Here is a 26,578-nt window from a genome sequence, read left to right on the forward strand (position 1 = left end):
TTACAAGTAGTTTTACTTCCCATTTTACCTCCAAATACTGCAATTATTGTGAAATTTTTTTATTTAACAAATATAGCACTTTTTGATCTTAAATCATATAGATTGATCTTGTAATTTTTAAATTGGCTGTGTAATATTCTGTAGAATAAATGTACCATAATTTATTCAACTATACATCTTCTATCGATCTGTTCTTTCAGTTTTTCTTTCTGTTATAAACTGCAAAAATAAACACATTTGTACATATAATTTCAAGTACTAGTATTTTTATCTATTTATTAGTACTCTTATTTCTGTTGGATTCCCAAATGGGATGGCTGGGACATAGATTATGCATTTTTTTCAAAGTATTACTATTTTTATTATGGTATAGAGTTGTACTTTATATATTAGCTCATTTTATAGTAAAAATTTTTTATTTTATGTGCAACTGTAGAAAAACTGCTGCATTTTGTTTTTCTGTAGAAAATAGTAAAAATGATTACATTTCCCAGGCTAGCCCAACAAGCTCATTTAAACCAAATAGTACCTGAATACACTATACACTTATAAATATGGTTTGATTTCTTGGATCCCAGGGAAAACTTTAGTTTCATTTATCGAAACAGCCATGTTTTTCTTTAAGTTACGTGAAGTGAAATTCCTATTAATCTTCCCTTTTAGTCTTGATTTATGCCTGATTATTTTTCTTTATGCTAATCCACAATCCATAACAAGGTTTTTGCTGTTCTTTTCTGAAGGACAGATACGATATGGTTTAATCTGCTTGATAAGGTACCCATACCTATCCAAATAATGAAATATCTTGGTTGTTATTAAAGCATGCCCAATATTTGGGCAAAACCAGAACCTAATAAATTTCCCTGTCCCCTAATACACACAACTTAATGGGAAGCCATGAGGAACAGGAGTAAAGTGATAAAACTGGCAAGTGGATCAAGAGAATTCTCAAACCAGAGGCAAGAAACATCTAATCAGGATTCAAAGACAGAACCGAAGTTCAAATAGAAAAAGGGTGGTTTTGCTTTTTTTTTTTTTTTTTGAGGCTGAGTCTCGCTCTGTTTTCCAGGCTGAAGTGCAGTGGCGCAATCTTGGCCCACTGCAAGATCTGCCTCCCGGGTTAGCATGATTCTGGTGCCTCAGCCTCCTGAGTAGCCGAGATTACAGGTACCCGCCATCATGCCAGACTAATTTTCTTATTTTTATTAGAGACAGGGTTTCACCATGTTGGCCAGGCTGGTCTCAAACTCCTGACCTCAAGTAATCCACCTGCCTTGGCCTCTCAAAGTACTGGGATTACAGGCATGAGCCACTGTGTCTGGCTAAAGGATGTTGCCTCAAGGATCAGGAGCTAAACTGGCTATCAGAGCTCCTAGAGATTATGCATTTCTAACTCTTAACATTACTGCTATTATGTTTTTAGAAGTTGTAGTGATGTAACCTCAATGAGTACTCATTTTCCCACAATTTTGGCAGTAAAAGTTAGTCAACTTCTAGATTATTTAATATCATCCAATACATTCTTATATCATAACACTATAAAATAGCCCACTATTGTTTCTTGTATCATGTGCAGATATATATGTGTGTACACATATATGTATATTACAACATTTATTCCTTTAATTTGGACTTTATATATGATGTGAAATAAAGGTCTAATTCTTATTGTTCAGAATGGAAAACCAAACTAGGCTCAAACTGATTAAATAGTTTGAGCCTATCTCATCGCCATAGATTTGAAATTTGATCTTTATCATATACTAAGTTTTCATAATACCAGTATTTGTTTCTGAGCATTCACTTATGTTAATTATTTTCACTTCTGCCAATACCATACTGTTTTGATTCTTGTAGCTTTATAATAAATTGTGATATCTACCAAGGCAAGTTGCTCTTGTTTTTTTTAATTGTGATAAAATATACATAATATAAAACGGACCATTTCAACTATTTTTAAGTGTGCAGTTCAGTGGCATTAAGTACATTCATGTTGTGCAACCATCACCATCCATCTCCAGAACTTTTTCACCTTCTGCAGCTGAAACTCTGTGCCCATTAAACACTAACTCCCCATTCCTCTCTCCTGCTAGCCCCTAGCAGCCACTATTCTACTTTTTGTCTCTATGAATTTGACTACCCTAGGTACCCTATATAAGTGGAATCATACATTTGTCCTTTGTGACTGGCTTATTTTACTCAGCATAATGTCGTCAAGGTATATCCATGCTTGCAGCGTGTGTATTACTTTCCCTTTTAAGGCTAAATAACATTCCATTGTAGGTATAAACTGCTATTCATTCATCATACACAGATTTTTGGGTTACTTTCATCTTTTGGCTATTGTGAATGCTGCTGCTATAAACATGGGTGTATAGTATTTCTTCAAATCTGTGCTTTCACTTCCTTTTGGTATATATTTAGATGTGGAATTGCTGGATCATATAGTAGTTTCATGTTTCATTTTTTGAGGAATCACCAAGCCACTTCCTACAGCACCTGCACCATTTTACTTTCCCACCTGCCATGCACAAGGATTCTCATTTCTCCCCATCTTTGCTAATGCTTAATTTCTATTTTTTTAAATAATAATGTTGTAGTAAATATAAAGTGGTATTTCACTGTGGATTTGATTTGCATTTTCCTAATGATTGGTGATGCTGAGCTTCTTTTCATGTGCTTGTGGCCCATTTGTGTATCTTCTTCAGAGAAGCGTCTATTCAAATCCTTTGCCCAGTTTTCAACTGGGTTGTTTATTTTTGCTGTTGTTTGTATTAGAGTTCTTTATTTACTCTGGAAAGCAATCTATTATCAGATAGATGATTTTCAAATATTTTCTTCCATAATTTGGGCTGCTTTTTCACTCTGTTAGTGTTCTTTAATGCATAAAATTTTTAATTAGATGAAGTCTATCCTATTTTTTCTTTTGTTGCCTGTGCTTTAAGTATCATAGCCAAGAAATCATGGCCAAATCCAATGTCATGTAGTTTTCTCCCTATGTTTTCTTCTAAGAGTTTTATAGTTTTAGCTGTTCTATTTACGTCTTGATCCATTTTGAGCTAATTTTTGTATGTGGTTAAGGTGAGGGTTCAACCTCGTTTTTTTGCATGTTAATATTCAGTTTTCCCATCACGTTAGAAATGTCTGTTCTCCATTGAATAGTCTTGGCATCCTTGCTGAAATTCATTTGACCATATCTGTGAGGGTTGAATTCTGGGCTCTATTTTGTTGTGTGGGGCTATATGTCTGTCTTTGTGTCAGTGCCACATTGCTTTGACTATCACAGCTTTGTAGTAAGTTTTCATCTTGTTTTAAAATTTTACTTATTTCTCAAAAATGTCATGGCTATTCTTACCCATGTTCTATTCAGGTTGAAGTTTAGAATAAATTTGTCTGTTGGGCTTTGGAATAATAAATAGAAAAATCTGGGAATAATTGGTAGCTTCACAGTATGGCTTTTACTATCTAGGATCACAGCTGTTCTCTTTTTTTATTCAGATTTTGTTATATTCCTATATAAAGTTTTATAATTTTCACCGTCTTGCATATTATTAGTTTTGTTAGTTCTTATTAGTTTTTCAAATAGATATGTTGATCTTTTAATGAAGTTTTTTTCTCATTACATTTTCTTATTAATCATTTTTGGAGCTGACAAAAGATTGTGTTTTAACTTTGGTGTTTTATCTGATTATCTAATTGAACATCTTTATTTGTTTTAATATTGTTCCATTTTTTCTCTTGAATTATTTGGATATATTAGATTATAATATTGCCCACAAATAATGTTGTCTTTTAAATTCTAATACTTATCTCATTAATTGCTCATGTCTTATGATGTTGGCTGGTGCCTAGTGCATAGCATTTCTTAGCAGTAGTCATAACAGGCATTATTGTCGTTTTCTTGAGTGTATCTAATGTTCACCAACAAGTACGATGGTAGCTACAGGTTTCTGATTGAGAGCCTTCATCCAATAAGAAAGTATTTTCCTATGTTTAGAAAAAAATACTGAACTTTACCATGTAATGTATCAACCTGGATTGAGATAATCATTATTTTTATCTTTAATTTCTTAAGGTGCTAAATTGTATTCTTATTTTCCTAATTTTGAACCATCCTCATGGTCCTGGAATAAACCTTCCTTGGTCACTTTGTTTTGCATTATAATGCTTTACTAGATTCAATTTAATAATATGCGATTTAAGACTTTTTGCATTTATATTCATGAGTTAGGCTGATGCATCATTTTCTTTCCTGTGCTCTGTTGCTATTGGGAGTTTTGCTCACTTTCTGCTGTGAGTTAGACTCTTTTTTTTTTTGGCTATGAAATACCTTAAGTAATAGAAATTATTTGTTTTTGAAGAATTAGTAAAACTCAAAACAGGAAGGTGACCCATTTCTGTTTCTCGAAGGAGTTCTGTTTCTTCAACTATATTTTTAGTGCCTTTTCTGGTTATTGGTCTAGTTACTATTAAAAAACAAAACAAAACAGAAAAACCTTTCTTGACTAAATTTTGAGCATTTGCATTGTCTTAGGATATGATCCACTTTATCTACATTTTCCAGTATATCTGCATAAACCTTATACAGTGCTGTCTTACGGTTTTAAAATTTATTATACCTATATCTAAACCTCTGTTCTTTTTCTAATATTATTTGTTTCCTTTTTTCCTTGATTATATTTGCCATAAGCTAATCTGTCTTCATCTAATAATCCTTTGTTTTTATTAGCCAACTAAACTAATGATTATTTTTTCTATTTTAAATATCTATCTCTATCTCTATACACATATCTGGTAATATTATTTTTTTTTTTGGTTAGTAGGCTCATTTGTTCTTATTCAGCTTCTAGAATGTGCATTTAGTTTACTTATTTCCAGTCCTTTCTTGCTTTCCATGAAGTCCCAAATGCCCCCAAATATGGATGTGTAGTGTTCTCAGTATCATTATTTTATAAATAGTATGTAGTATCAATTATAAATTTCTTTTAAATTAAAGACCAATTTAGGAGATGTTTTTATATTTCCAGTGGATAAATTTTAATTTGTCCATTTTCTGTTGTTAATGTTTAGTTTCATTGCATTATAGCTGTAAAATATGGTTTGCATGATTTCTACTATTGAAACATCTCTTGAGAATATTTTTCTGATCTAATATATTGTCACTTTTATAATCATTCCATGGGTATTTGAAAATAATGTTTATTCTGCTGTTTTTGTTACAGAGATGTCTATAAATTATTAAATCAATGTTGTTAATTGTGCTATTCATATCTTCCTTTTGGGAATGTGATTATTCTATCGATTTCCAAGAGAGGAGTATTAAAATTTTTCATCATGATATTAAATTGGTCAATTGCTTTCTTGATTTCAAATGGATTTTTTTTAAATGTAGTTTGATAGTTGAATATTAAATGCACTGAGTTTATATCTTTTTTATGGATTATACTGTCTTTGTCTTATTTAATGCATCTTGCCTTGACTGACTATAATGTTGCCATCCCTGCTTTCTATTATTAGCATTTGTCTACTATATCTTTGTCCATCCCTTAATATTTGATCTTTCAGAATCATTTTGTTCTAGACATATCTCTTGGAAGCAGATATACCTGGATTTTGCTTAAAGAAAACCTAATCTGAAATTCTCTGTCTTTAAATTGAGAAATGTATCTGTTGCCATTTACTAGAAAAATGAAAACATTTGGTCTCATTCTGACATCCTGTTTGGTTTCCTATTTTTATGTAAATTAGTTTTTACCCTTTCCTGGTGTGATCAAGTTTCCTTTATTGTTATTTTTTCATTTCCTGGTTTGAAGGGTGTATATATACTACAACTATTCTATTCACCCAGTGCTTATCCTTATTTTTAAATAACATATTTAAACATGTTTCTTTCTATCAATTTCTAACATTAGTCAGTATCTTTTACCTCCTTTTAAATAAGGCAAGACTGTGAAACTTTACCTCTTCCTTCTTGTCTATTCCACGACTTCACCGGTGTTGACATAGGCAGAAATTTTGTTTCAACCTTGTATTGATTTTTTAAACATCTTGCCTCTATTTTACAATGAATTTTTTCAAAATAATTGGACTAAACAGCACCATTATGAATCTTTATTTTGATCTAATTGTAACTTTTGTGAATTCTTAACTTATCATTGTCCCTTCACTCTCATGCTTTCCTCCTCCTTGGATTCCTTTTTAATTTTTCTGGCATACACTCTTAAATAAGATTTTAGAAAGGCTTTGTGGGTGGTGCATTTTCTGAGTCCTTGAGTGTCTGCAAATGGCTTTATTGAGTTATTGGGAATAGAAATGGAGAACCCACATCTTTTTCCTTCTGAACTTTGAAGCTATTTCTCTACTATATTTTAAGATTCTAATTTTTGTTATTTTTTGAGTGAAAAGATGAAACAGGTGTGCAGTGACTTATTTAGTTGTCAAGCTACTATACTTTAGGTACAATATTAGACTACAGGAATTCAGAGAAGGTAACACTGATCTATAAATGAATGTCTGTGGGAGAAAGGAGAACGGGGTGACTACATTTGCTTGGAGTAGTCTTTTTGCAAAGGAAACATTTAAGACGGGTAGTGAAGCAAAAGCAGAAACTTACAAGATAATTTATAATCTCATCTTTTTCATATTCTGGTTCTTATATTAAAATAATAGAATTATTATAGATTAAATAAGTTTAGACTATATTAGAGTTACATAGAATTTGAAATAATTATGTTTTCCCCAAATATAAATAAATCTTATTCCTGATCTAGTATCTAAGTATATACTTTTCCCTTTATTAAATTTTCTAGGGCAGAGGTTGGCAAACTAAGGCCCACCACTTATTTTTATAAATAAAGTTTTATTGGAACAACTATTCTCATTCACATATTTATTGTACAACAGAGAATTGAGTAGTTGTGACAGAGGCTGCATGGCTCACAAAGTCTAAAATATTTTCTATTTGGCTTTTTACAGAAAACATTTGCTGACTGCTGTTCTATCTAGGATATCATCAGTGTGTAGATGATCAGAGTTCATGTCAGTGTTCCTACAAGCCAATGAAGGTAGGATTCAACAGTAAGTCTTGACTTCCTTAAGGTGTCTGATGAGTGCGTTTATGCAAGTTCAAGAAACAAGTTTGGCTATATTTTGTATTAAAATTGAAGCTTATCTCTCAATCGTGTATAATTGTCAATAATTACTTGCCCTTTAAATGAGTTTCTTCTTTCCATTTTGTTTCTTTCTCGTGTTCTAGGCATTGCGCAATTCAGCCTTGCGGTTTTCGTTTCTTTGACTTCGTGATGTGAGGGAAGCTGGCATGTTTTCTAATGTGCTGTTGTGTGGGCTTGGGCTGTTGATTGCTTTTGGCCTAGGTGCTGTGCAGAGCTCCAAGGTTTGGCTTTGTAAACGCTGCCTGGCAAAACGGAAACATTTTGTGAAATTTGACAAATGTCACACACACCCGCACACACACACATTTTAAATTGCAAAATTCTCCCCTTGGCACACAGTTTTCCCCGGGTTTTTATTCTTCATAATAAATCTTTAACCATCTTCGTGTCTATATGAGCTCTTTAGTGGATGGACGTGCTTTTGCTTTGATGAGACTTGCAGTTAAAAAGCCCTTGGTTTCCAGGATATCCTTATTGTTTTTCTTTTCTCAAAAAATTAATGTGATATTTTATTCCAATGAGAAAGCAGTCTTATTTCATTTCCAACTGCTTTCTCAGACAAAGATTCCCACCGAAAGCCATTCTCCAACATGGGACCCCTAGAAACTGACCTCTTGGCTTCTCTCTTCTGAACTCAGAGTGAGACACAGGGGAGTGGAATTCAGAGAAAAACTGGGTGAATTAAATTCTTTTCGTGCATGAGTTAAAGCATCTAAGAAACTATAATATGAGTGCTTAATCTCAAGAAAAATCTTGGTATATTTTAGTACATTTTCCTTCATGGGTAGCTAAAAGCACTTCACAAACAAATCATTGACTTTAGAATGAGGGGACAAATATGATTGTCCCTAGGTCACAGATGACATTAAATCCTGGGGAGGTAAGCTTTTGCTTAAGGTCATTCAGGGTGTCAGCAGGGGTGAGGCGGGCTTTAATTTTATGGTTGGGGTATCTGTTTCAAGTCTTCTGCCAATTTTAAGACATGCCTCTGGCTTAAGAAAACTCTTCCAATTTGACTACCCTAATTTGCATCCCTCTCTGGATTTCCAGCTCTACTTTCTAGTTTCCTGGCACTCTAATTACTCAGGCGTTACTTCTGACAATGACCCCCAACTCTCATCCCTTCAGCTTGACTCCAGGGTCCTCGCACCTGTGAGCTACCGTCCCTGGCAGCCTCGAGTAGACGGGCTCGGCTGCCCTATGCATTGAGCAGAGCCCTTCCTGGTTCAGACCTTTTAGGGCAACAGCAATTTGGCAGCCTTCTCTAGATCCAGGGTTGCAAGAGCAATCAGGCCGAACGGGACTGCTTCAGCCATACTGTTGAAACACATCATATTGCCTGGAGAGCAGACAGTGCCATTCAGAAACTCTAAAGAGAAAATGTAGTGCCTTTATTTTGTCAGTTACAGATCTGGCTTTTCTCCTAAGTCTCCAACTGTCAGAGAGAAAAAGAAACTAAGTGTTCGATTCCATAATTTTAATAGTGCCATAGGTTATGCTCAGTGTTTTGGGGTGATTGCTTAGAATGTCTCATGGAAATGTTAGGGCTAAAAATGTGTGCTCCAGAGACAGATTGACTGGGTTTAAACCATGGGGTTGCCTTTGAGTCAATCTGTGGCCTTGCACAAGGGACAGGGACACTCAGCACTTCAGTTTCTCTGTGTGTAAACCAGAAAAAAATCTACCTCTGCACCACCCAGTTTGGTAGCCACTAGCCACATATGGCTACTTAAACTTAAATTTAAAGTAGTTCTTAATAAAATTAAACACTGTTAATAATTCAGTTTCTCAGTCACACTAGCCACATTTCAAGTACTCAGTAGCCACAAGTGGCTAGCAGCTACTGTACTGGAGAGCTAAGAGATTAGAACAGTAGACCACTGCTGTCCATCATAAAGTTCTGCTGGATTGCACTGGTCTACATCACAGGGTTATAATGTGGAGTAAGTGAATTATGCAGCTAAAGTGCTTAGAACAATGCCTGGCAAGTGGGAAAGATTCAATACGTTTATCACGATCCTACTCTTTCCCACTCCCCTTCAAAATGGTGCCCAGGTGTACTGGAGAAAGGTTAGAGGTACTCCACTTTCTGGTTCCTATATTTTTACTAATGCTTTATTTCCTGTGCCACTTTGTAAGTTTCGATGTCTCAAGGATTTCTTATTTTGTAAAGAAAGACACCACAGCAGAATGGCTATGAATGAGTGTTTTAAAGCCAGACTGCCTGTTTTGAATCCCAGTTCTGTCACTTGAGTAGCTGTGTGATCTTAAGCAAATGATTTATTCCGTGTCTCAGTTTCTATATATATGAAATGAGAGTAATAACATATACAATTGAATAAAATTCCTCAAAGGTTGTTGGGAGATGAACTTATGGAAGTAAAATACCTTGAATCGGACCTGGCACCAAAGTTCTCAAAAAGTATTATCTCTCATTAATATTAAATATTAGTATTTTTTTCCTGTCCTCAGCTCATCCTCAAAATGGCAATGGAGACTCCTGGGGGAAATGTATGACTTGGCTTCTTGGTGGGGAGAGTTGTCGGAGTACTCCCATTCATCTGGTCTTCGGGGTGATATCCTTTGTCTCTCTCTCTTGTCTTCTGCAGTGGATGGGATTGGTAGTTGATTTGTCTTGTGGTTTAGTAAGTCTCAGCATGGCTAGGGAGCTACAACCCTTTCTGGCTACATGGTCTTTTCATGGCTCTCGCTGGTGCTACAGACCCATCGTATCCCTGCCTTACCTTCCTTTGGTCTCTGGTTGGGCAGTCACCCCCAGCATCCATCCCAGCAAGTCTCTCTCCATCTCATCATTGCTGGCCCCTGGGCATTCCACCCTTTTCTACCAAGCTTTTAATTCCTTTGGGGAGCCTCAGAAACTTCAGGGCTCCATCCGTGCTAGATCTGAAACAGAAGGTAGAACAAAAGCTCCTTGTCCTCAGTGTTCCCTTCAGTTTATCTAACATATCATTCCTATTCCCCAGTGATTTCAGAAATTACCCCATTCTACCCTGGCAAAGGGTCTCAGACCATGTGGATCCTCTTAGACGACGAGGCCATGTAAGACAGCTCCCAGGAAAAATGAGATTTCTCAACCAGACATTCCTTAAAACTGACTCATTTCAGAGGTTCTTAGGATCCTCTGGCTCATCATTGCCACTGTGGAGATTCTTTGATAGTGACTCCACCACCCATCGCTTAGTCATGACTTCAGGTTGGAATCAGGCTTCAGGCCTGTGTATCCAGACATATCAAATGACCTTATGCCCATGAGTTCCATTCTCAACTGTTTACTGGGATTCTGAACCCGTGCAGTAGACATACCAGTGAAGAAGGGTGAGAGATAAAGGCATCAAATACCATGAAAGTAGAGTTAGTACGTTTAGCCACTGCTTGAATGCAGTAGGCAAGGAAGAGAAGATTCAAATCTGACTCCATGGTGTTGAACCTGGTGATTGGGAAAACCAGAAGTTTATATGCTGTCTTCCCAACTGAATCCATTCTTGAAGCACAGAGCCCAAATAGTAGCTGCTTACTACACCCTTGCTGATGATGAACTGATGGAGTTATTTGTTTTTCTAGGTTCTGAGGAGGCAGGACCAAGAAATGGATGTTGATGTTTAGGAGACTGTATGTAATATGTAAATAAAATGGTAATTATATAATGATTAAAATTATAATATTCAGGTAATAATTTGGACATCTTTTCTATGACATCAATAATTGAGTTTTTCAAATAAAACTACAAGTAATTGAAATAAGGCCATTGTGGAAAGCAGTGTGGCAATTCCTCAAAGAACTTACAGTAGAGTTTTCATTTAACCCAGCCATCCCATTATTGGGTATATACCCAAAGGGATATATATACCGAAGGGATATAAATTATTCTACCACAAAGACGCATACATGTGTATGTTTATTGCAGCACTATACACAATAGCAAAGACATGGAATCAGCTGAAATGCACATTGGCCATTGGATAAAAAAGTGTCGTACATATACACCATGGAATACTATGTAGCCATAAAAAAGAGTGAGATCATGTCCTTTGTAGCAACATGGATGGAACTGGAGGCCATTATCCTAAGCAGACGAACAGAGTACAGAAAACCAAACACTGCATGTTATCACTTATAAGTGGGAGCTAAACAATGAGAAGACATGGGCACAAAGAGGGAAACAGTAGACACAAGGACTTGAGGGTGGAGAATGGGAGGAGGGAAAAAGTAAAAAAGCTACCTATTGAGTACTATGCTTAGTACCTGGGTGATGAAATAATCTGTACACCAAACCCCATAACACACAGTTTACCTATATAAAAAACCTGCACATATACCCCGACCCTAAAATAAAAGTAAAATAAGACAAAACTGGACATGATGAAAAAAAAAAAAAATCAAAGTGGGTCCTCTGGCCAGAAGCTGTGGCTCATGCTTGTAATCCCAGCACTTTAGGAAGCCAAGGCGGGAGAATTGCTTGAGGCCAGGAGTCTGAGACCAACCTGGGAACATAGCGAGACCCTGTTTCTGCAAAAAATTTTAAGAACTAAGTCAGGCATGGTGGTGTGCGCCTGTAGTCCTAGCTACTCAGGAGGCTGTGGGGGGAGGATCCTTTGAACTGCAATGAGCCCTGATCACACCACTGCACTCCAGCCTAGGTGACAGAGGGAGACCCCGTCTCAAAAAAACAAACAACAACAACAAAAAGGAAGTTATTCCCTTTAGGAATAATATATACTAATTTTTCCTTCGTGGCTGCATGAAATAAGTTGTTATATCATCATCAGTTAAGAGTCCAGTATGTACCCAAGAAAGGGGAAGTTGCCTTTCCGTGTCTTAAATGAAGATTTGCATGGTATTTAAGATTTTGGAAGAGGATATGTCCCTAGATGCGCCATGAATATTACTTGATGATGACAAGCACTTGATGAATAATTTTTGGAGTATTGTTTAAAATTACAAGGATAGTAGTAATTATAGATCCCAGAAGCAGAAAAAAAAAGCTTAATTATCAGATTTAAGAATAAGAGGTTACTCCTCATAGAAAAGTGATCATTTTTAGTGGTCGTGGAAAAAATGTTCAAATGACTAAAGGAACATATGGGGAACTACCAGCAGACCAATTCATGTGTTGCAGCTATTTAACTGAATTACAAATGCAAAATGCATTCTTTTTCCAGTTTCGTTCCATTTAAACCCAAATGGCTATGTGAAATGGTGTCATACACCTGGTGAAAAGCTCTGCTTTTTAAAAATCTTATCGCTTCACCAAAATGCCTGGTGTTGAACCAACAACAGCGTTCTTTTTGTATTGTTTAAACGAGTTTAACCACTTTTCAGAATATTCACTTCTCGTTTGATGGAAAAACTAAACATCAAAAGAAATTTAATTTAACCCTCCTTTTCCCTTCATGGATCTATTGACATCAATGATGATGCTAGCCATCATTAGAAAAGTAAATGAGGATGGCTTTTTTTCCTCTCTTAAAGCCAGGAAAAACAAGCAGTGGAAAAATATATAATTTTTGTTATTAGAAGTGGAAGCCTATGTTGTAAAACAGTAAGAAGCACTCTTCGAAACTGCTAAGAAAATGTAACCAGGAGTGGAGGATTAAAATCCACAAATTACACACTTTGAATTATACTTGAGAGTGCAACAAGAAGAAAAACACAAACAATTTTTAGCTGAGGAGGAAAACAAGCTCTCTTACAAAAACACGTTTAATGTATTTAGGAGCACTGGCTATATTTAGTTACGATGAATTATATAAATTGGACAGTGCAAACTGTTGGCCTTTGAGCCACATCTGGTACCCAGTTGTGTGTTGTTTGGTCTACCCACTTTTCCAAAAAATTCTTATTGGCTACCATCATTTAAAAATTGGGAGCATTCACATAAAAATCCAGATTTTTAGTTCTCTTGGAAAAAAGGATCTGGCAGTACTGGGCTTGTATTTCTGCAAGGTGTCAGCTACCAGATGCTTCCTCTACGGCCTCTGAGATGCACTCATGTGACTTCAGAGCTTGGAGGGAGGATTCCTGGTTCTGAGGCTTTTACCGGTGCTATGCTCCCCTTGGGTGTCTGAGACAGCTCTTAAGGTCAAGCTCAAGCTACTAAGACATTAAGATTTTTAGAGATACAGAGCTATGCAAACCTAGTCTTGATTTGCTATAACTAGATTTTTCTCAGTCTGAGTGTGAGTTACCTTCAGCTATTCATATTTGATTTTTTTTTGATAGAATTAAACAATCTGAGATTATCATTTGATGGCTCTATTCACAATTTACTTCTGGACCTATGCAACTCCCAGGTGGCCTTTAAGTGAAATCACTTAAGTACTTCCTACAACCTAAGGGAATGCAAAACTACAAATACAAGTAGATTACTAAAGCACATGTGTGGTTCATAATTTGTATCTTCTGTTCATTTTTATCATGCATTGGAATAGTTTAGAGTAGGGAAGCTGGAGGAGTGCAAAGGGACACTTTAATGACATGGCATGAGTCGACATTTAAATAAGATTTATTAATTTATTCTTAACATTAAAAATTGGGGAAATGATAAAATGCATCCTGGAGTTTAATTTTACAATGTGGCTCCATATTCATTTGAAGAATTATATGATTCTAGAATGTAATAATCCAATAATAGATATGCATTACTGTGGAATTGCCCCCATTTGTATTATCTGTATTGCTAGCCAAGAATATGCATAACTATTAATAACACATGACCAATTAGTATTATGAATTAGTGAATTAACTGATACATAACCAGAGAGGCTGCTCATGCACTTTAGCATTTTAAGTATTCTTTCAAGAACAGCTTCCAACTATTTTGTTATGGGAATCCTAGGGCATAAAAAATTCAAGTTTATTTTTTTAAAGAAGTGATTTTTGAATGGAGTGAATTCCAAAAGCTGAGAAACTTTTTTAAAAAACCAAATTTAAAAATATTGCATTTTCATGACCTTTCTCTTCATGAGTAACTCAGAAAATTTGATTCAAACTTTCCAAAATAAATTTGTCTTTGGCTTTGAGACGAAAGCATAATAATTTTCGGTTCAAAAGGAGCTGTTGGAGGACATTTTTTTTGACACCGTGAGAAAGGAAAGAAATTAGGGCCCCAAATAGAGTACTAGTTGTTGGCTTAATTAGGGAGCAGGGCTGTGGTGCCATAATTGCTGAACATGATGCAACCACAGCATCCATGTTATTTAGCTGCTAAATTTTTGACTTTCTCTTCCCAGAAAAACAGAGATCTGTGTTCTGAATGGAAAAATTCCTACTGATGCCAGTAAGTGAGCCATCCATCTATGATGTGTCTATGGGGAAGAAAGTGACATGAATGAGTAAAATAGAATATATGCTTTAAATCATGAAAATTGAGTCCAGATGGAAAGGTTAGGAGGAAATGGAGTGGAAAGGTGGATGAAGAAGAGTGAGAACTCATGCAGTCGTTGCGACTTGGTTGACACTTCCTTCCCTGTGACTACAATTCCAAGTTCAGTACTCCTGAGCTTTTATAGATGGATGAGAATATAGGGGGAAGAAACAAGAGGAAGGAGTTTTCTGAAATCTCGGTGGAGAGGAGGGAGAAAAAAGATGGGAAAATGTTACAAGCATTCTGTTCATGTTGTATCACTTAGTGCAGTCTTGTCTTCCCAGCCCACTAGTCTGGAACAAGTCAGTCTCAAACATAACAACAGACACTGGGGAGCTCTCCAACAAAAGATCACCTCCCAAAGAACAGGATGGTGTCGAAGACTGAATGCCAGCCTGAGGAAACAGAAATACTACAGAAGCACGCCAGAGCCTGCAGTGTCTCCTCGCTGCCTCTCAATGAACTGCTAAAAGACCAAGAACTCTGCTGAGAGATAAGAAGAGGGGAGGGTGTGCTGCAGGTGGTGCTGGGAGGCCCAGACCTTCTCCTGACATCTGGGGCTGGCTACAGGAAACAGAAACATCACCCAGGCCTTGGCGCGAGACAGGACAGAGGCAGATTGTGACTCAGATCTGCAGGTGGAAAGTGGGCCTTTCGTTTTCTCCTAGGGGTAGAGCAAAGCCAGAGGGCTCAGTCAGAGGAAACCTAAGGCAGTTCATGATCCCTTCAACTTTATACCATTTCCTCAAAACTGCCTCCAAACAGTGGGCAACTGGAAAGGTGGTCTGACCTCCAGTGATCACACAGTATGCATTATAACAGAAGGCTGTCACTGTCAATTGCATGGCTCCCTCACTATGCATTCCTTCTATCAATTTACGACAACACACTGTAGTGAGTACCTGCACATTGCTGGGTATTTTGGCAGACATTGATAGTAGATGAATAACACCTGGTACTTGACCTTGAGACGCTCACTGCCTAGTGTGGGGAACCAATGGTTGCAATATAAAGTATTAACTAGAGGGATAGAGGACTGCCTGAGGATCTCTGCACTCAGAGGAAGGGCCATGAGATCAGCCAGGACAGTAGGGAGGCAGTGACTCATGAAATTAGCAAGTGGTGAGAAGAGGGCAGTAGATTCAGCGGCTGCTAAAAAAGGTTACTGAACTTTTTGTTTCATCAATGCCAAGAAATTAATCTGTTTTAGCCTCTTTCATGGCCTCTGTTTGAAATTTTTTAACTTTTTTTTTTTTTTTAGATTTAGGGGTACAAGGACAGTTGTATTGCATGAGTATATCATATAGTGGTGAAGCCTGGGCTTTAAGTGCACCTATCACCCGAATAGCGTACATTGTACCCACTAGGTAGTATTTCATTTCTCACCCTTCTTCCACCTTTTGGAATCTCCAGTGTTTGTTGTTCTACTCTGTATGCCCATGTGTACTCATTGTTTCACTCCCACTTATAAGTGAGAACATGTGCTTTTGACTTTCTGTTTCTGAGTTGTTTCACTTAGGATAATGCATGTTCCTGTTTTGATTCAGTCAAAATCCTGGGGTCAGCACTGACAATGTGATTAACCCCTGTCCTAAATTCACTGCAGAGGAACTGCTCCCATATGACTACTTATTACCACCCAAGCCAGAAACCACAAAGATATTCTGACCTCTCCTCCTTCACTCCCCACCAACTGGTGAGTAAGCTAGTCACCAAGTCTTGATTCTACTTGCAAACATCTTTGGAAGGGATCTCTCACTCCACACAGTCTCTGTCATTGCCAAGTATACCCATTACCTCTGCTCTGTCCTACGGCTCATCATTCCTCATCTACATGCTGCACCAACCTCCTAACTCCCATTCCTCCCCCTCCTAGTTCACTGCCATAGCGTAATCTTTCTATATCACGGATCATATTGTGTCCGAAATTGGTGGGTTCTTGGCCTCACTTACTTCAAGAATGAAGCTGCAGACCCTCGTGGTGAGCGTTACAGTTCTTAAAGGTGATGTGTCTGGAGTTTGTTCCTTCTGATCATGTTCGGAGTTTCTTCCTTCTGGTGGGTTCGTGGTCTCGTTGGCTTCAAGAGTGAAGCTGCAAACCTTCAAGGTGAGTGTTACAGCTCTTAAGGCAGCGCATCTGGAGTTGTTTCTTCCTCCCGTCCGGAGTTGTTCATTCCTGCTGGTGGGCTCATGGTCTCGCTGGCCTCAGGAGTGAAGCTGTAGACCTTCGCAGTGAGTATTACAGCTCATAAAGGCACTGTGGACCCAAAAAGTGAGCAGCAGCAAGACTTATTGCAAAGAGCAAAAGAACAAAGCTTCCACCCTGTGGTAGGTGACCCAGTGGGTTACCACTGCTGGTTCCAGCAGCCTGCTTTTATTCCCTTATCTGGTCCACCCACATCCTGCTGATTGGTCCATTATACAGAGAGCTGATTGGTCTGTTTTACAGACAGCTGATTGGTCTGTTTTGACAGGGTGCTGATTGGTGTGTTTATAATCCCTGAGCTAGACACAAAAGTTCTCCAAGTCCCCACTAGATTAGCTAGACACAGAGCACTGATTGGTGCATTCATAAACCTTGAGCTAGACACAGAGTGCTGATTGGTGTATTTACAATCCCTTAGCTGGACATAAAGGTTCTACAAGTCCCCACTAGACTGAGGAGCCCAGCTGGCTTCACCTAGTGCCTCCTGCACCAGGGCCGCAGGTGGAGATGCCCGCCAGTCCCGCCATGCACCCGCACTCCTCAGCCCTTGGTGGGTTGATGGCACCGGGTGCTGTGGAGCAGGGGGCGGAACTCATCAGGGAGGTTCCGGCTGCACAGGAGCCCATTGCTGGGGTGGGAGGGAGGCTCAGGCATGGCGGGCTGCACGTCCCGAGCCCTTCCCCGCAGGGAGGCAGCTGAGTCCCTGTGAGAATTCGAGTGCCGGCAGTGCTGGGGGACCGGGTGCACCCTCCACAGCTGCTGGCCCAGCTACTAAGCTCCTCACTGCCCGAGGCTGGTGGCGCCCGCTGGCGGCTCCGAGTGCGGGCTCGCCAAACCCACGCCCACCTGAAACTTGCGCTGGCCGGCAAGCGTGGTATGCAGCCCCGGTTCCCGCCTGCGCCTCTCCCTCCACACCTTCCTGCAAGCTGAGGGAGCTGGCTCTGGCCTTGGCCAGCCCAGAAAGGGGCTCCCACAGTGCAGCGGCGGGATGAAGGGCTCCTCAAGTGCGGCCAGAGTGGGCACCGAGGCCGAGGAGGCACCAAGAGCGAGCAAGGGCTGCGAGGGCTGCCAGCACGCTGTCACCTCTCAATATAACATTTCTCCACTGCTTAAAATCTAATTTATCCCTGGTTTCCTACTGTAAACAGAATAAAATCCTAACTTTTTAGTATGATCTAAAAAATCCTTTATGACATATTTAAACAGACACCACCAAAGAAGATATAGGCATGACCAATAGGCATGTGAAAAGACACTCAACATCATTAGTCATTCTGAAATGCAAATTAAAACCACAGTGAAATAGCACTACACAGCTATTAGAACGGCTACAATTAAGAAGATTCATTGTATCAAGTGTTGGCGAGGATGTTGGGGAAATGTAGGAATGTAAAACTGTATGGTAGGAATGTAAAACAGTATGATTACTGCTGGTAGGAATGTAAAACAGTATGATTACTTTGGAAAATAGTTTGGCAATTTCTTATAAAGTTAAAGATATATTTACCATGGGCCCAGCCATTCAACTCCTAGATATTACTTAAAAGTGAAAGCTTTTGTCCAGAAAAAGACTTGCACACAAATGCTCATGGAAAATTTATTTATAATAATCGGAAGCTGGAAGCAATCTAAATATTCATTAATGTCACATTCATTAATAGTGAGTGGATAAACACATTCTTATATATTCATATGATGGAGTAGAGCAATAAAAAGGGATAAACTATGGATACCTGCAACTCTATAGTTATACTGAGTGAAAGAAATCAGACAGAAAAGGATGCATACTGTGTGTATTGGTTTGCTAAAACTGTCATAACAAAGTACCATAGACTAGGTAACTTGAACAACAGAACTTTGCTTTCTCAGAATTCTGGAGGCTAGAAATCGAAGATCAAGGCCTTGACAGTGTTGGTTTCTTCTGAGGCCTCTCTCCTTGGCTTGTAGAGGCTGTCTTCCCACTGCGTCTTCACACGGTCTTCCCTCTGTGTCCATGTTTTCTCTTCTCGTAAGGATTCCAGCCATGTAGGACTAGGGCCCACCCTAACGACCTCATTTAACTTAAATATCCCTTTAAAGATCCTGTCTGGAATACAGTCACATTCTGAGATACTGGTCTGAGATACTGGGGGTTAGGACATCAACCTATGAGTTTTGAAGGAACACAATTCATCCTATAACATGGTGTGATGACATTTAATAAAATTTTAGAAACTGCAACCCAATTTATAGTGACAGAAAGCAGATCAGTGGTTACCAAGGACAACAAGAGGAGTTAGAAAGAGACAGAGGTCTGGGAGAACTTTTGGGGGTGATGGATATGTTTGCTGCCATGTTTGTGGTGATGGTTTCTTGGGATTATGCATGTATCAAAAGTTATTGCATTGTACACTTTAAATTTTAATATGCATAGTCTATTGTAAGTTGATTATATGTCAGTCAAATGTGTCATTTGACAGAAATGCTTATTACGATCTTACCTTCACATTCCTCTCTAGTTCTAGATGCAGCTACTCAGTTTTAGGCATCATGTGCCTTCACTATACTGAATTCTTACAGTTATTTGAAAATTGCAAATTTTCTCATATTGGCCAGTAAGACTCTGCAGATATTTCTTCTACCTGGAAATGTCCTTCTTCCTTCTCTGCTTAGTGAATAAAACCTGAACATCAGTTTGCAGATAGTACCTATCTCCAGGGTCAGCTAACTGTCCGTTCTTCCTGCTTGGATTGCTTTGTTACAGTACATAGAATATGTCTTTTGGGGCCCGGCATGGTGGCTCATGCCTGTACTCCCAGCACTTTGGGAGGCTGAGGTGTGTGGATCATGAGGTCAGGAGATCGAAACCATCCTGGCCAACATGGTGAAACCCCGTCTCTACTAAAAATACAAAAAATTAGCTGGACGTGGTGATGCGCACCTGTAGTCCCAGCTACTCAGGAGGCTGAGGCAGGAGAATCGCTTGAACCTGGGAGGCAGAGGCTGCAGTGAGCCGAGATCACACCACTGCACTCTAGCCTGGGTGACAAAGTGAGACTCTTGTCTCAAAAAAAAAAAAAAAAGAATATGTCTTTTGGCTGTTTATTTTCTTGTTTGTATCCCATTAGGTTAAAATTTTCTTTTGAGTTTAGGCACTTTTGTCATTTTATGTATGTATATAATTTTTTTTTTTTTTTTGAGACGGCGTCTCACTCTGTCGCCCAGGCTGGAGTACAGTGCTGTGATCTCAGCTCACTGCAACTTCCATCTCCTGAGTTCAAGCAATTCTCATGCCTCAGCCTCCCGAGTCGCTGAGATTACAGGCGCCAGCCACCACACGCGGCTAATTTTTGTATTTTTAGTGGAGATGGGGTTTCTTCATCTTGGCCAAGCTGGTCTCGAACTCCTGACCTCAAGTAATCTGCCCACTTCGGCCTCCCAAAATGTGCCATAATATATTTTTAAATAAAACTTTTGATTTTGGAATAATTTTAGATTTATAGAAAACTTACAAACATCATACAGCGTTTCCATTATACCCTTTACCTAGTTACCCTTATTAGGATGATATTTTACATTACTTTGCCAAGACTAAGTAGCCAACACTAGTACATTGCTATTAACTTGACACCAGATTTGGTTTTGATTAATTTATCTTTCCACCCATGTTCTCTTCTTGTTCTGGGATCCAATACAAGATATCACATTACATTTCATCCTCGTATCTCCTTGGTTTCCTCTGGTCTGTGACAGTTTCTGAGTGTTTTCTTATTTTTTGGTATATTTTTATCCCCAGAGCTACATAATGCCTGGCCCCTAAAAATTTAAAAATATGTATAGCAAAGATTCATGCTGCCTACTATGTGTCAATCATATTGTTAGTATCTGTCAGAGAACCCACTCATTTAACCCTCATAATAATCTAGAGGTAGTTGCTGTTATTATGACTGCCTTAGCAGATGAAGAAGTTGATGCTTAAATAACATAAACCATTAGCTAGCTTGGCTCTTAACCACTATTCTGCAACTAATACATGTTTGTTAGATAAATGGATTAATTAAAAGCTGCCTTTTTCTATAGGTTGAATTCAAGGAATGATGAAAATGCAGAATGTACACAATACTAGACCTTCTTAAGAAAAGTGGAAGCATTGAATTCTGGGGTGACTTTCTGGAAAGGACGAGGTTCTGGTCCTGGGTTGGCTGACTGCTCTCTGCCCGGTGCACCCATCCCCGCTACCTACAGTAGCCAGAGTTAGTCAGTGTGCCATCTGCCCCACCATCAAGGAGAAGGAGCTGTTAGGAAAGACAATGAGTTTACTAACCCATAAATGTGAAGTCCAAGACACAGGTATTTATGATAAGGAAATGGTCTGCAATGCTGAACTATTTTACAGGGCTCATGGAAATAGCCCAAGTCCTTGAAGACCAGAAACCAGCTGAAACATGACACTGAAAAGCTGAAAGCAAATGCAACGTGTGCTTTAAATGAGAAAATAGGCAGGGCAGCTGCAGTGATTTCTCTCTGGATACTTTGCAGATTCCTTAAAATAAAATGCACTGTTCCTTTCGTGGCACTTCAGCATGTCCTCGATGAAAGGAGATCTCTGGGAATCTCCCTTCACACTGAGTAAGTGGTAATACCATGTCAATTCTGCAAAGTCAGTTTTTTTTTGCCATAAATGTGAAGTCCATTTATGATAAGGAAATGGTCTTATCCTCTGTTTGTATCATAATTAGGAGGACAATGTTTTGCAGATGGATAGGGCAAGGAACCTGTCATGCCAAAAGAGAGCAAAAAAGTCAAAGGATAAAGATAATCTCACCATGAAAAGAAACAGAAATAACTCAGTTGTCTGAGCATTTCCTTGGAAGATGCCTATCTGGGTTACATCTCGATACAATGGGATTTCTCCTTGGCCACCTTGCAATGACCCATGTAATGTGGGGAAGCTAAGACAATTTAGAAGAGGACTCTCAGCCGGCCTCCGCCCCCTACCCTGGTCTTACCGTTCCTCGTGTATTTTTAAATTACCCACAGGCCCAGGAGAATCTTAATTTATTATTGTGTAAATTAATGGCTATTAGTAATTTTGACAGGTGAGACCATGGCATTAAAAGTTGTTACATAAAGGGGACCATTTAGTACAGATGTCAGGGGACGCCGGGGAAGGTGCTGATGGCCAGATTCTTGGATTTGCAGAGCTCAGGTGGCACCCTGTGCCAGATCCCCACCTTATTGTGCTGTTAATCATTTTCTGGCGTTCTTCCACTAATGGCTTTCTTTAGAAAATGGGAAATGAGTTGGACTCAGAAGCATAAATGACAGCCCAGATTGTCATTGCTTTTCACAGCCCACATAACATTCTATGATTCTATATATTTCGGGTGCAGAGAATTATCATCATGGTTGAGCTCAGTGCCCAGTTTAGGCATTTAGTTCTTTCACCTTTTTTTTTTTTTCCAAAAAATTGAGTTCATATTGGTTCGTGAGTAAATGTTTAATTATGCCCTCACATTCTTCTGAAAGTCACAGTTACAATGATAAAATGAAATAATAGATGTGGAAACCCGCTCATGCAACCTCTCTGTTGTGATGCCTTCTCTTTCTACCATTTGTTGTAGGACATCTGGAAATTAAAAACATCGAAAAGAAGGAAATAAAAATTAGCTATTGTCCTCTGCCTAAGAAAAAGCACAGAGATATTTTAATGTACATATAATATAGTATTGTATTCTTTGGACAGTGGATAGCTTATCTAGATGATAAATTGCTTTCTATTTTGATTTAAGTTGTATATATATTTTTCCCCTATTAGAATGAAGCTCTTTGAAAGAAAGATTAGTTTCCTATAACAACTGTTACATTTTATTTAATTTATACAAGTGGTGGAGATCGCCAGTTACTACTGAATATTCATTTTTTTCCTTTCTCCTCAACAAAGAATACTGTTGGATAACAATGAATCCAGTTAAAAACAAAAATAAGGAGCCACCTTTTGCAGCTTTCCCTGCATATAGGAACCCATTAAAAAATAAGTAGAAGTCGTTGGGTAGAGCTTCTTTATTTTTACTCTCTCTTTTTTTTCTCTTCCTGCCTGAGATTTGAATGTATTAGCTGGAGCTCCAGCAGCTACTTTGGAACCATGAGAGAAAGGCTGAGAGAATTGAAAGATCTTTGTCCCTGACATCCTGAATCAGTTGCTGAACTAACATCAGCAATTGTTGACTCAGACTTTTAGTTATATGAGAAAAATAAGCCCTTGTCTCTTTAATCTACTGTTTTGCAGTCTGTAGCCAGCAACCAAATGCAATTCTGAACTCACACCATCATACCACTTTATTTCAAAAAGGATTTGTGGGAACAGCCAACTCCTATTCATACACCATTGTATTTTTAAAAGCAACTAACACAGTGTGTCTTCCTGGTGGTAGGCATTCTATAAATGTTTGTTGAATGAGCTCTAAGAAGATTAAATTCAACCCCATCAATAAGATCATCTTCCTCCACTCTCTTACCTACATTATTTCCTTGAACTCAAGTAGTCACTTTTATTTTTTCTTCAAGTAGGAGATTTTTATGGTTCAAATCTACAAAGGAATTCATTCTGGGAAACATTCAGCTTGGCTCTTTATTTTAGGATAGTCTTCATTTTGTCGCTTCTGCTGTTTTATTTCTCATATTTTTATGTTCATGTGCCTATACCATAAAAATAATACATTACAATTGTTCAGCATGTTTAGCTTATCAGAAGCTCATTAACTCTTTTGTTCTCATTTTACCCACACTCTGGCAAGTGATCAAAAAATATAATTAGCCCTACTTTGTATAGAAAAACCTGAGACACAGATAGTGTAAGTGACTTAGTTTCTAAAAATATAGTTGAGATGAGACCCAAAATCTCTTGCCTTTCATTGCTAACTAGTCTCTTTTCTTAAAAGATGTCAAAGTGAGCCAACTCTGCTCAGTTTGTATGGCTCTCTGGAGCACTGTGTTAAGTAGGATTCTGAAGCTATGTTCAGGCTCCACAGGCGAAAGGGCAGTAATCATTTTAGCAATGCCTGTTGCAGTATGAGTAGTGAACAGAGAGTTGTCTGTGGTGACCCAAATACCTTGTATTCACAATTCTATATCTATACCAAGATGAATTTACTTACACACATGAACACACACACACACATTGCTAAAAGCTAAAAGGCATCTCATTCTTTAGTAGGATTTGCTTGATCCCAGTGTTTTTCTGCCAATCTTTTTCTGCTCATTTAGATGCATTCAGTTGAATTTACATATTCATGTAATGTATATACACACACACATAAACTGTGTGTATATATGTATATATATCTTTATGTTACCTTTTATTTTTTTGTGCCTCAATTTAGATAAGGTTACCCAGGGTAAATCCTGCATCTATTCTAAGTTTTTAAATTTAATTGTAAGTTTTTTAATTCTTAAAAACAGCGAGTTCTTTATTGAATTAGCAGAATAACCACATGATCACATTGTGTGCCAAGGTAAAGTTTTTGATGACAGTATGCTTCCAATTAGCTGGATAATGAACAGTGTGGTATAGTTTATATTTGATCCCACCTGGGAGGGAGGAGATGCTACACAGCATCTTAAGGCCTCTTTCAAGAATGTAAGTACAAAGCAATAGGCCAGAGGTCAGCACACTTTTTCTGTAAAGAGCAAGATAGTATACATTATAGGCTTTGCTTGCAGGTCATATGATCTATGTAGCACAGCTACTGAACTCTATAATTGCAGCTCAAAAAGCAGCTATGGCTCAGTAGTGGACAATATGTAAGTGAATGGGCATGGCTATTTTCAAAAGGAGGGCAGGGAGAACTCATTCCACCCACAAACCTAGTCTGTGGACCTTGGACATAGGAAACTTTTCACTGCAGAGGGAACTAAAAGACTAGGATGCTTCCCTACAAGGAATTTATGTGAACTTTAGTTTATTATCTCTGCATACCATGAAACATGATGATGATGAAGATGATGATGATGATGATGATGATGATGTCTAGCCTCCAGGGTTGCTATAAGGACTAAACGACTTGATTATGAGTGCCTCTAGGTGGCACTTTATTGGGCTGAGAAGTGGACACCACAGTTGACCATTTGAATGTTTCATCCCCAGCAGGGCTCTCACCCCATCCATCCATCTGTAGCAGGTGGATTGAGCATTTGGGTGCCGCGGACCAGGTGGAGATGGCAGCTAATGGGAGAGCGAAAGTTCCATTTAAGAAGCGGACTGTTGTTCACCTCCAGGCCACTGTAGTCATGTGAGAATGGAGTCTCTTTTTTGCCAGGTCTTCCAATTTTTCAGGAGAAGATAGAAATCCACATGTTAAGTAGAAATTTCCAATTTTAAAGAAGTTTAAAACTTTGGAAAACTATTTAAAATTTTTAAAAAATTGTGGGAGCTAAAAACAATCCAAGTATGAGGGCTGGATCAACAGAGGCACCGTTGTGTGTCCTCTGGCCACTATTCCTAAGTGTCCAGATATTAAGGAGGAAATGAAATTTTTCTAGGATGTGCAGCACATGTCCCATGCTAAAGCACTAAGCCCTCTCATACTTTAATCATGACAACTCTATCCATTTACTTGATATACACCAAAGAGTGTGTCCTCTGTTCCATGCACTGGTCTACAAACAGGGCATCTAGCAGTAAAGTAGGCAGAAAAAAACCTCTGCTTTCGGCTGGGTGCAGTGGCTCACACCTGTAATCCCAGCACTTTGGGAGGCCGAGGTGGGTGGATCACTTGAGGTCAGGAGTTTGAGACCAGCCTGGTGAATGTGGTGAAACCCCGTTTCCATTAAAAATAAAAAAAAAAATAGCCAGGCATGGCGGTGCATGCCTGTAGTCCCAGCTACCCAAGAGGCTGAGGCAGGAGAATTGCTTGAACCCAGGAGGCAGAGGTTGTGTGAGCTGAGATCGTGCCAGTGCACTCCAGCCTGGGCGACACAGCAAGACTCCATCTCAAAAAATCCCACAAACCTCTGCTTTCACAGAGCTTTTATTCCACTAGATTGGCAGGTTTGCAGTAATATAGGTGGAGAATGACATTTAGAGGAAGTGATTCTAAGGACAGAATTACTTATTCCCAAAGTTGCAAAGGGTGACAGAATTATTAGGAAACATCAAGGATTATAACAGGAAGGCTACATATGAACTGCAACAACAACAACAAATCACTGGCTGGCTGAGCTCTGGGCTCACTAAAGATAAATGAGAGAAAACCTGGTACATTTCCAGGGAAGGTTTTAAGTCAGGTACCAGGAAGAACTTCCCAATAGTTAAGGCTGTTAAGCAGAAACAGGTGGCTGAGTTGATTGAGGACTCTTTCCTCTGGAGAACTTTAGGAATGGGACAGGCAACATCTATCCAAACATATAGTCTCTCTTGGAGGCAGGGAGTTGAACGTGAGCCAGGGGTCTGAGTACTTCACTGGAAAGGTTTTAAATTTCTAAATTTCTTACTTTGGCCTATATAGTCATTTTTTTTAAAAAAATTTTTGGTTAGAAAGGTCTCTTCTTCCATAGATCAAGCTACATAGATGAGCTCATCTGAGGAATGCATTTTTTAATTTTAGCACTTTCTATAAATGGGTTTTCTAAACCCTAAGCTGAAGTTGTTACCACGACGGGGAACATGGAGATAATTTTTCATTCTTTCATGCTATGCTGAATGTCAGCAGTAGCAGCTCCTAAAAATAATCATACCTTGTATTTCTATAGCACCTTTCCCGGAGGTTCTCAAACTGCTTTGCAGACATCATGTAATTAATCCCTATAAAGCATCCTGAAGACAGTGGTATAATATTA

General features: G+C 38.5%; 1 long non-coding RNA gene across 4 annotated transcripts in view, besides 1 other annotated feature; it reads left to right on the forward strand.

The window, feature by feature from the left end:
• The window catches only part of LOC105372130 (uncharacterized), a 177,123-nt gene extending 158,132 nt beyond the window's left edge, over nucleotides 1-18,991 (forward strand). For 2 of the 4 annotated variants that reach the window (XR_935488.3, XR_007066383.1), the window contains exons 4-5: nucleotides 6,976-7,064; nucleotides 14,423-18,991. This is a non-coding gene — a long non-coding RNA (uncharacterized LOC105372130). Of the gene's footprint in view, nucleotides 1-6,975; nucleotides 7,065-7,255; nucleotides 7,555-14,422 lie in introns of those variants that run through there. The other 2 variants (XR_007066382.1, XR_935487.3) reach the window with 2 other exon arrangements.
• Nucleotides 9,561-10,760: an enhancer, noted in NCBI's record as "P300/CBP strongly-dependent group 1 enhancer chr18:53500200-53501399 (GRCh37/hg19 assembly coordinates)". NCBI's record gives its function as "activates an origin of replication core promoter dependent on BRD2, BRD4, P300/CBP, MED14 and CDK7 cofactors, with strong dependence on P300/CBP, by STARR-seq in HCT116 cells {active_cell/tissue: HCT116}" and the evidence as "EXISTENCE:reporter gene assay evidence [ECO:0000049][PMID:35650434]".
• Nucleotides 18,992-26,578: the final 7,587 nt, after the last annotated feature.

The sequence above is a fragment of the Homo sapiens genome, chromosome 18 (assembly GCF_000001405.40).
Source record: "Homo sapiens chromosome 18, GRCh38.p14 Primary Assembly".
Classification (NCBI taxonomy): Eukaryota; Metazoa; Chordata; class Mammalia; order Primates; family Hominidae; genus Homo; species Homo sapiens.